At 35.2% G+C, this 12,001-nt stretch overlaps 1 protein-coding gene across 5 annotated transcripts in view; it reads right to left on the bottom strand.

Moving 5' to 3' along the window:
* The window catches only part of CFAP299 (cilia and flagella associated protein 299), a 642,486-nt gene that overhangs the window by 17,700 nt on the left and 612,785 nt on the right, over positions 1-12,001 (bottom strand). For all 5 annotated transcript variants that reach the window (XM_047449975.1, NM_001206997.2, NM_152770.3 and 2 more), the window contains one exon: positions 1,112-1,241. In XM_047449975.1, coding sequence (XP_047305931.1) covers positions 1,112-1,241 — 130 coding nt within the window. The remainder of the gene's footprint in view (positions 1-1,111; positions 1,242-12,001) is intronic.

The raw sequence follows: 12,001 nt of genomic DNA, 5'->3' as shown, positions 1-12,001 counted from the left end.
CTGCTGAATAGCTGGGATTACAGGCATGCGACACCATGCCTGGATAATTTTGTATTTTTAGTACAGATGGGGTTTCTCCATGTTTGCCAGGCTGGTCTCAAACTCCTGACCTCAGGTGATCTGCCCGCCTCTGCCTCCCAAAGTGCTGGGATTACAGGTGTGAGCCACCGCGCCTGGCCTATTTAGCATTTTTTATGTGCAAGGAACTGTACTAAGTGGATATGAAATACAGACTGGATTTTTGACTTTGGTTTTCTAAAAACTTTTGGAAAAGTTTTTATAACCTGACCCCCCTTTCCTTTGGCCCATCCTTGTCCATATTCCATGTGTATCAAACAATTTTTATTTATTTTACTATGAAAGAATCTTTTTCTTGCTTTTGGATTTTAGACTGACACTTTCATGTGAATAATAGTTTTCAAAATTTAAAAACAATAACAAAATGAAACCCACCGATACAAGTCAAACACATAATGACTTCAAGCAAAGTTTTAACTTTCATCCCGAGACATAGGACAAATCATAATAAAAAGTCATGATTCAAATGCAGTCTTTGAAAATATGCAAGATGTAAATATTTTTCTTTGAACAAATTCAAAATATCATGAGACATGTCTTTAAAATATTTAAATAAAAGTGTTTTCCAAATTAACACTTAGAAATACATTAAGAGCCAAACCATTTTTAGTGTTAGTCACATACACAGAGGGGTATTAGAATTCTGGGTACAAATGTAAGTTCAGAATCTCCCTTCTCTGAATGACGCTCCTCCCCACTAACAGCAACAAGTGGCTGGACATCTGCAGGATCGGGGGAAGCACATGCGTGGCCTACTGGCTCCCTGGTGCAATTCTGTGCTAGGCATGGAGAAGTGTTTCCACTTGTGAGTTCTGTTTAAATTCCCCCTAAACTCTTTCTTATTAATTTCTAATAATTTATGAAGCTATGCAGTGTTTTTTAAAAGGTAGTACATGCTCTAAGTTTCAAAATGTTATTTCCTTTCTAAATTTAACAACTTAAGAGTGTCAAATATTTAACAGATTTTTTGAATAGTGGCAGAAATACAATAACATGTGAAGAGGTAACTAACTAAGTGTAAAAGAAGAATTACCTTTGGGTCCACATTAAGAATTTTTCTGTCTCTTTTGTATCTGAAAAGTAAGCCTTCTGGATTATCGGCAATCACTTGATAGTTGGGACTTGAATTACTAACAGCAATATCAGCGTCCCAGTTGTAAAAGCTATAAAAATAAACATTTATTAGGAATTAAGATGTATAATGCATTAAATTGACAAATATAGTTTAAGAACTATTTGGGGAAGTTCAGTCATAAGATAAGTGGATACAAACATGCCATACAACCATGTAGAACACATTTGAGATTAAAATTCTTGCACAAGAGATTAGATTGGGTTATTCCCAAATCATTTAGACACATATTTATGATGCTTTTGCATGATTTTCTGGACACTTCTAAGACCTAGGGCCTATTACAGTACTATTACATTCCCAGGAAGTCAAGATGAAAATTGATGCAATTTAAGGCTATTTGTTCTAGTTCAGGTTCTTCAGGGTATTAAGAGACTGTTTACTGGAAGGGAGGGCTCACTAAATCACCTCTTTTCATTCAAAACAATTCCAAATAAATTCACTTCTTTCAGGCTCCGCTTTTTTTCCTCAATAATATGTTTCTCAGGGAGTGAGGAAACTATTTATGTTTGAGTGGTTACCGTGAGCCAAACGTGATGTGATCTATGCTATCACAACCCCCATATGAAGTTGCTCTCATTTTATGGACAAAGCAAAACGACTCGGGGAGGTCAACTAGCATCATTAAAGTCTTGAAACTAATATGCCACAGGGCTAATATTTCAATCCAAATTTGTATGTTTCAAAGCATACATATGCCACTTTCTATTTTTCAATATTGCCTTCAAGTATTATTTATTTATTTATTTATTTATTTATTTATTTATTTATTTATTGAGATGGAGTCTTGCTCTGTCTCCAGGCTGGAGTGCAGTGGCGTGATCTCAGCTCACTGCAACCTCCGCCTCCTGGGTTCAAGCAATTCTCCTGCCTCAGCCTCCCAAGTAGCTGGGACTACAGGTGTGCGCCACCACGCTCAGCTAATTTTTGTATTTTTAGCAGAGATGGGTTTCACCATGTTGGCCAGGATGGTCTCGATCTTTTGACCTCGTGATCTGCCCACCTTGGCCTCCCAAAGTGTTGGGATTACAGGCGTGAGCCACTATGCCCAGCCCATTTTATTTTTATATTTTGTACAGAAACTTCCTATTTTTTCTACATTCTGTTTTGTACTTACTTGTCAGAAATGAATGCAATACTGTCATATGAATTGAAAGAATCCTCAATATATTTACACTTATTTTTACATATCTTATAAAATATAAAATAAAAATCTACTTATTTTTATGTATCTTATTCCTACTAATGCATTTCTAATACTATATTTGCTTTTAAAATGATGGTCACAGAAATAACACAAACCAGGGTGCCTCTCAAATGTTTGTAATATTTATTTTTAATGATATTCTTCTGATCCTGTTTCTAGGTCGTTTTGCCCTCTATTACTCCCTTTCTTTTTTGAAAATAGAAAGTTTCATTGTTTAAACTTACTGAATTATATTGTTTTCTGAGGCATCATTATTACCACTTTCATATTATTACCTAAAAGTGCAATGTTTACTCTCAAATTTTTCAATATTTAGAAATGATTGATTGTATAGATCATATATTTATGTCACTGGGAGGGGGGCGTATCAGTGAGAACAATTTTCTTTCCCTACTACCTTTTCTATGGCCAGGACATAGAATGTCTGCCCTACTGAGGCACAGAGTAAGAAAAAGGAATTTTCCAAATATCTTTGTCTGTTTAGTCAATTCTCCCTAAGAAAACAGGAATGACTATGTGATTAGTGAATTGAGAATTGTGCATTCATGGCCTTTTAGGCCCTCAACTTAATAAGCCTTCACAAGTGAAGTTTAAGATGACAGGCTCAGCCCCCCAGTGGAGTGATTGCAGCAGATGATTCTGTAGCATTGGCAGTCAATTCAATGGTGAAGGCATTAGAAGCCAATTTGACTATCTACGCAAGCTGGATTTTCTAATTCAGTTTAATTCATAATAAAAAATATACTTTGATATCCATATTACTGACTTTTCAGTTAGGATATTGCCAAATTGGAGTGGGGAATATGGGTGTGATTTTCAACTGTACATATATTCTCCTTCAATAATTATTTATGAGATATATAGATATAGATAATTCTACCAAAATACTTGAGTCAGAGATGTGCTTAGAGTGGCATGGTTTATATTACACATTCCTATCTTGTTGCTCAGACCCCAAATTAAAAGTCTTATTGAAGTCCAGGAAGATTTTTATATAAATGTTTTCTACATAAAAAAAGTATATTTGTATAGAACATGATTCTTTTGATGAAGACATTTTGGTTGTTTCATCAATACTTTTGTTCTCCTAAGCAGAGATGGAAAATAGGCTTTTTATAGTAGCTGATTATTATTAGTATTTAATAAAAATAAATAATAATTATCTAGTAATGGTCATGTGCTAGGTACCGTTATAAGTCTAATGAATCTATTATCTCACTTAATCTTATCACCAAATCCATGGAGTAGGTATAAAATATCCATTGTATTCATGTAGAACTGACAGGAAAATGACCACTTGGATTCCAACGTTAAAGACTGACTCCAGAGCCTGCACTGACTAACGCATGTACTCTTTGTCCCACGTACTACTGGTTGTGACTACACTACCTGAAGCTCTGTAGCATATATGACTGCTGATCAAAATACAAATTTTCAAATTTTTCTTGGTAGACCTCCAGACTACAACCATGGTCTCTCTTGCAGTGTAGCCGCGTAATAGCAATTTAGTCAATGGAACAACTATTTTCCACTACTAGTGTGGGCCCATCAAAAACCATCCATGTTCTTTTTCCCATCCAGCTAGCTGGATGAAGATGATAAATTTGAAAGCCATTGATATGGTTTGGATCTGTGTCCCTTCCCAAATCTCATGTTGAATTGTAATCCCCAATGTTGGAGGTGGGGCCTGGCAGGAGGTGATTAGATCATGGAGGCACATTTCCTTCTTGGTACTGTCCTCACAATAGTGACTGAGCTCTTGTGAGATCTGGTTGTTTAAAAGTGTGTACACCTCCCTTGTCTCTTTCTTCTTCCTGCTCCAACCATGTAAAGTGCCTGTTCTCACTTTGCCTTCCACCATGAGTGAAAGCTCCCTAAGACCTCCCCAAAAGCATGTGCTGCCATGCTTCCTGTACAGTTTGCAGAACCATGAGCCAATTAAACCTGTTTTTGTTTTGTTTTGTTTTGTTTTTTTAAATAAATGACCCAGTCTCAGATGTTTCTTTATAGTAGTGCGAGAACAGACAAATACAGCTGTAGCTGTATGTGAAAGATATTTGGACTTTGGAGAAATGTAAGGACAAATAGTTGAGCTAGTTGAGAAAAATCTCTATTTAGTGGTTTCCTATGACATCTATGTTGCTTTAAATCTATGAAATTTTCAATTAAACAAGCATTTAACTAGTATGCAGTATATTCCAGTTAGGTCCTGTAATTACGGTTTCTACAAAATCAAACATGTTCTTGGGAAACAGTGGTCTGGCACAGTGTTTCTTAAACTGAGATCCATGGCAAATTTCTGGTAGTGTGAATTCTCTCTGAGCAGTTTAATATATGTAAACTATAAATATAGTCAGCCCTTTGTATTCCACAGATATGAAATAAAAACCCGGGATTAAAAATATTTGGGAAAAAATGTGTCTTTATTGAACATGTACAGACTTTTCTTTGTCATTATTTCCTAAACAGTACAGTGTAACAACTATTTATACAACATTTACATTGTATTAGGGTTTAAGTGATCCAGAGATGACTAAAAATATAGAGGAGGATGTTCATAGGTTATATGTAAATATTACACAATTTTATATCAAGGACTTGGGTATTCATGGATTTTGCTACCTATGGGAGGCCCTGGAACGAATCCCCCACAGAAACAAAGGGAAAACTGTATATTCTGAATTATCTAGATGATCATTTTATTACTCATTACAGAACTATATCATCTCAGTACCTATCTGTGTGCTTATATTTACCATTGTCTTCATGTCAAATTAAAATAATTGAATTAGGCCTTCAACTGATTAGGGCACAGTAGTATGTAACTGAGTAATTTGTATATATATTTACAAGGTATAATTTTTTAGGACAGAGAGATATTAGTACTTAAAGGGAATTTGTACAAACGAAAATAAACTGAAAAAACTCACGAAGGTAACTTTTTGTGAAATGAAAATATTTTATTGAAAAGTAAAAAGGCCAGAGGGACATCAGCAAGATAATGGAATAAGAGACTCCAGCCCTCACTCCCCTACAGCAACAGCGATTTTAACAATGATCTAGGAACTGTATGCATCTGTGGGAAACTGGAAGTCCAGTGGAGAGATTCTAGAACCCCGTTCGTGGAAAAAAAGTTTGAGGATAAACACACTGAAGTGGGTAAGAACAGTTACACTTTACCCACATCATCTAAGGCAGCATAGCCTAGGGCCAAGGGAGATCCCGCAGGCCCATGATTTCTCCCATAGGGGAAAATGATAGCTGAGTGAGGGCCTAGCTTCCCCAGTCTTATGGAATGGTACCCAAGAGGCTTACACTGGTCTTCCCACTCCCAGATTACTGAGGTGATTGGCATGACTAAATAGTCTTGGGGGGAACTAGGAGCAGGTAAGAAGGGATGAGGCTTCAAAACAACCACTGTGAAGATCTCAAAATATGGCCATATATCCTACTAAGTGGCTTATGGACTCCACCAAGAGGCCCACCCGTGAGCTCTATGGAAAACCTCATCTGCAGTGTCCCTTACTGGCTAATATGCACCCTCTTCATTCTATGTGCGCTGCTGAGATGGTGCGAGCAAATACTCACAGAGAGTGCATGTAGATCAGCAGCCAGCTCAACTCTGCAGGACTGGGAAAAGGTATACAAGATTAAATACTTCAGGGCATTGCCATGTGAAAAATAAAGAGGAGGCTCTCAACACCTGGCTTGACTTAACAGGATCAAGAGAAGACACACAATCCCAGGACTTCCTCATAGGAGGAAAAAAGAGCAGTGGGGTGGGCAAACCCATAAAAAAGGCCTGAGAGACCCTCAAAATCTCTAGTTAAGCTGACTTGTGAAGGTCTTCTTTGAAGACAGATAGTAAAGACTTGAAAATGTGACTGCTTCTTTCAACACAAAACTTTAAAAATATGAAGAATCAAGGAAACATGAGACTACCAAAGAAACAAAATAAAGTTCATGTGGCTGACCTAAAAGAAATGAAGATTTACAAGTTGTGTGACAAATTATTTAAAATAGTCATATGAGCTCAATGAGCTACAAAAGAACACAGATTTACAATTAAATTAAATCAGAAAAGCAGTACATAAACAAAGTGAGAAATTCAACAAAGAACTAGAAATCATAAAGATGAAGACTACAATGACTGAAAAAAAAATCAACAGAGAGCTGCAACAGCTCACTTGATCAAACAGAAGAAAGAATCAGCAAACTCAAAGACAGATCATTTGAAATTATCCAGTCAGAGGACTAAAAAGACAAAGAATGAAAAAGAGTGAAGAAAGCCTGCATTGCTTATAGGATGCCATCAAATGAGACAGTATATGTAGTATAAGAGTTCCAGAAGGAACAGAGAAAAAGAAAATAAAATAGTTTACTTAAAGAAATAATGAGACAAAACTTTGTAAATCTTGGGAAAAAATGAACATCCAAATCCATGATGCACAAAGATTCCCAAATAGGCTAAACATCAGTTAATCTTCACTGAGACACATTCTAATCAAATTGCCAAAAGTCAAAGACAGAGGGAATTTTGTAAGCAGCAAGAGAAATGGTTAATCATCTACAAAGGGAACATTCCCCTCTCCCCAAATAATAAAACCATTAGCAGAAATCTGAGTAGAATGTTTATGGGCCAGGAGAGAGTAAAACAATATATTTAAAGTGCTGAAAGAAAAAACAACAACAACAAAAACCTGACAACAAAGAATTATTTACTTGGCAAAGCTATCCATAAAAAATGTAGGAGAGATAAAGCCTTTCTCTGGTGAACAAAAATCAAGCAAGTTTATTACCAATATACCTGCCTTACAAGAAATGCTACAGGATGTTCTTCAAGATAAAACAAAAGAACACTCAGTAAAAACATGAAAACATAAAAGTATAAAACTTACTGGTAAAGATAAGTACATACTCTAATTCAGAATTGCCGAGGCCAGCTCAGTCGGGGAGACCCTAACCTAGCAGCGCTAGAGGAATTAAAGACACACACACAGAAATATAAAGGTGTGGAGTGGGAAATCAGGGGTCTCACAGCCTCCAGAGCTGAGAGTCTCTAACAGATATTTACCCACGTATTTACTGACAGCAAGCCAGTGATAAGCATTGTTTCCATAGATTATAGATTAACTAAAAGTATTCCTTATGGGTAACAAAGGGATGGCCAAAATAAAGTGATGCGTTTGGCTAGTTATCTGCAGCAGGATCATGTCTTTAAGGCACAGATGGCTCATGCTATTGTTAGTGGTTTAAGAACACCTTTAAGCAGTTTTCCGCCCTGGGTGGGCCAGGTGTTCCTTGCCCTCATTCTGGTAAACCCACAACCTTCAAGCGTGGGTGTCATGGCCATCACAAACATGTTAACTGTGCTGCCCAGCTTTTGTTTACGGCCCGTTTTGGGGCCAGTATATGGCCAGATTTTGGGGGGCCTGTTCCCAACACAGAATCCTCTAATACTATAATGATTATGTAAGGGTCATTTTTAATGCTAATGTATAATCTAAAGAAAAAAGTATTAAAAATAACTATAGCTAGAATAACTTGTTAATGGATATATATCATAAACAGGTGTAAATAGGGACATGATATCAATTACATAAAATAGAGGGAGAAGTAAAAGTGTAGAATTTGTTTGTGATCAAAGTTAAGTTTTTATAAGTTTAAAATAGCCTGTCATAACTATAAGATGTTTTATGTAAGCCTCATTGTAGTCATACAAAAAACAAAACACCAGTAGCAGATTAAACAAAGATTAAAAATGCACAATCCAAATATAATCCCACAAAAAATTAACAAATCTCAAAGGAAAATAGCAAAAGATAAAAAAGAGAACAAGAACTACAAAACATTTTGAAAACAATGAAATGGCAATAAAAAGTCCTCACCTATCAATAAATACTGCAAATTTAAATGAATTAAAATTTCCAGTCAAAATAGAGAGTGACTAAATCAATTTTGTAATAAAAAAGATCCAACTATATGCTGCCTGCAAGAGATTCACTTTAGGTTTGAGGACACATATAAATAAAATTAAGGAATAGAAAATATTCCTGAGGCCAAGGTGGGCAGATCATTTGAGCCCAGGTATTTGAGAGACCACCCTGGGTAACATGGTGAAACCATGTCTCTACAAAAAATACAAAAACATTAGCCAGGCATGGTGGTGTACAACTGTAGCCCCAGAAACTCAGGAGGTTAAGGTGGGAGGATCGATTGAGCCTGGGATATTGATGCTAGAGTGAGGTGTGATCACACAACTGTACTCCAGCTTGGGAAACAGAGTGAGACCCTGTCTCAAAAAAAAAAAAAAAAAAAAAAGAAAGAAAAAAAAAGAAAAAAGAAAAATGATATTCTATGCAATGATAACCAAAAAAGAAAAAAATAGTTATTCTTAGACAAAATAGACTTTAAAAAACTCTCAAATGAAATAGAAGGTCATTGTATAATGATAACAAGATTAATTCATCAAGATGAATTAACAAAGATGTATCACTCAATGCGGGAGCACCTAAATGTATAAAGCAAATATTAATAGAACTGAAGGAAGAAACAGACGGCAATATAATAACAGTAGAAAACATCTACACCCCACTTATATCATTGGATAGATCACCCAGCCAGAAAATGAATAAAATACAGAGGATTTGAAGAACACTATAGTACAAAGGGACCTAACAGATAAAGGACATTATAGATGTAGAACATTTCATCCAACAGCAGCAGAATATACATTCATCTCAAGGACACATAGAACATTCTCCAGAATAGATCATATCTTAGGTCATATAACAAGTTTTATTTTTTTCATCTTATCATGTTTTATTTTTTATTTTTTTATTTTTATTTTAGGTACAGGAGTACATGTGCAGATTTGTTATATAAGTAAACTCACGTTATGGGTGTTTGTTGTATAAATGATTTAGTCAGGCATGTACTAAGCCCAGCATCCAATAGTTATTTTTTCTGATCCTCTCCCTCTTCCCACCCTCCACCCTCAGGTAGGTCTCAGTGTCCGTTGTTCCCCTCTTTTTGCCATGAGTTCTCATCATTTAGCTCCAAATTATAAGTGAAAACATATGTTACTTGGTTTTCTGTTCCTGCATTAGTGTGCTAGGGTAATGGCCTCCAGCTCTATATGTTCCCATAAAAGACATAATCTTGTTCTCTTTCATGGCTGCATAGTGTTCCATGGTGTGTTGTATATGTACTACGTTTTCTTTATCTTGTTTACTATTGATGGGCGTTTAGGTAATTGCATGTCTTTGCTATTGTGAATAGTGCTGCAATGAACATACACATGCATTTATATCATAAAATGATTTATATTCCTTTAGGTATATACCCAGTCATGTGATTCCTGGGTCAAATGGTATTTCTGTTTTTAGGTCATTGAGGAATCAGCACGCTGTTTTCCACAATGGTTGAACTAATTTACACTCCCACCAACAGTGTATATGCATTCCCATTTCTCCACAAGCTCATCATCATCTTTGATAGGTTGATGCAAAAGTAATTATGTTTTTGCCATTAAAAGTAATGGTAAAAGCTACAATTTTGCACCAACCTAATTTTGTTTTGACTTTTTAATAATAGACATTCTGACTGATTTGAGATGGCATCTCATTGTGGTTTTGATTTGCATTTCTCTAATGATCAGTGATGTTGAGCTTTTCTTCATATGCTTGTTGGCTGCATGTATGTCTACTTTTGTAAAGTGTCTCTGTTCATGTACTTTACCCACTTTTTAAGGGGGTTGTTTGTTTTTTCTTGTAAATTTAAGTTCCTTTTAGATAATGGATAGAACCTTTGTCAGATGCATACTTTGCAAATATTTTCTGTCATTCTGTAGGTTGCCTGTTTACTCTATTGATAATTTATTATGCCATGCAGAAGCTCTTAAGTTTAATTAGATCCCATTTGTCAATTTTTTATTTTGTTACAATTGCTTTTGGCATCTTTGTCATGAAATCTGTGCCTGTTTCTATATCCAGAATGGTATTGCCTAGCTTGTCTTCCAGGATTTTAAAAGTTTTAAGCATTACATTTTAGTTGTTAATCAATTAGAGTCGATTTTAGTATATAAGGAAGGGGTTCAATTTCAACCTTCTGCTTATCGCTAACCAGTTATCCCAGCATCATTTATTGAATAGGGAATACTTTCCCCATTGCTTGCTTTTTTTAAAAAAAATCATATTTGTCAAAGATAAGATAGTCACAGTGTGTGGCCCTTCTTCTGAGCTCTCTATTCTGTTGCATTGGTCTATGTGTCTGTTTTTGTACCAGTAGCATGTAGTTTTGGTTACTGTAGCCTTGTAGAGTAGTTTGAAGTTAGGTAATGTGATGCCTCCAGCTTTGTTCTTTTTGCTTAGGAATTTAAGCAGATGCAATTATACCAAGTACAGTTTCTGACACAATGATATGAGACTAGAAATAAATAATGTGAGGAAAGTTGGAAAATTCAAAACTTTGTGGAAATCAAACACCACGTTCCTAACCAACCAACAGGTCAAGGAAGAAACCAAAAGCTAAATAAAAAAATACATTGAGATACATTAAAATGGAAACATGCTATACCAAAACTTACGAGATTCAGAAAAAGCACTTTTAAGAAGGGACTTCATAGTGATAAGTACCTATATTCAGAAAAAAATCTCAAATAAATAATCTAAATTTATATTCAAGGAGCTATAAAAACAAAAAGCTAAACTCAGAGTTAGCAGAAGGAAGGAAACACTAATGATCAAAGAAGAAATAAATGAAATAGACAAACATTAGAAAAGATAAATGAAACCAAAAGCTGGCTGTTAGAAAAGATAAATAAAGTTGACATACCTTAAGTAGACTAATTTAAAAAAGAGAGAATGCCCAAAGAAAGTTAGAAATGAAAGAGAAGACATTTTGTTTGATACCACAGAAATACAAAGGATCTTAAAACACTATTATGAACACTTACCAACAAATTGGATAAACCAGAAGAAATGGATACATTCCTGGAACCATCCAACCTAACAAGATTGAATCTTGAAAAAAGAGAAAATCTAAACAGACAAATAATGAGTAACAAAGTTGACTCAGCAATGAAAAAAAAAAGCTTAGAAAAAGATATCTTCACTTGTGAATGCTTCCAAACATTTAAAGAAAAATTAATACCAATCCTTTTAAACTCTGAAAAGATTGAATAGGAGGGAATATTTCAAAATTCATCTTATGGGGCCTACTTTATCCTGATACAAAAGCCAAAGAATCCACCTGCAGAGACAATTATAGACCAATAACCCTGATAAACATAGATGAAAATTCTTCAACAAAATAATAGCAAACTAAATTGAATGGTATATCTAAAGATTATACACTATTTGCAAGTAGGATTTATCCCTCGGATACAAGGATGGCTCAACATATGCAAATAAATAAATTTGATATATCACCATATGATGAAAATCACACAATCTCCACAGATGCAAAAAAAAGCATTTGACAAAAGTTGACATCCTTTCATGGTAAAAACTCTCAATAAAGTAATACAGAAGGAATGCACTTCAACACAATAAAGGCCATATATAGCAAATCTACAGCTAGCA

Source organism: Homo sapiens, chromosome 4 (assembly GCF_000001405.40).
Source record: "Homo sapiens chromosome 4, GRCh38.p14 Primary Assembly".
NCBI classification, from domain to species: Eukaryota; Metazoa; Chordata; class Mammalia; order Primates; family Hominidae; genus Homo; species Homo sapiens.
The sequence above is the reverse complement of the archived record's forward strand: the minus strand, read 5'-3'. Positions and strand labels throughout refer to the sequence as shown.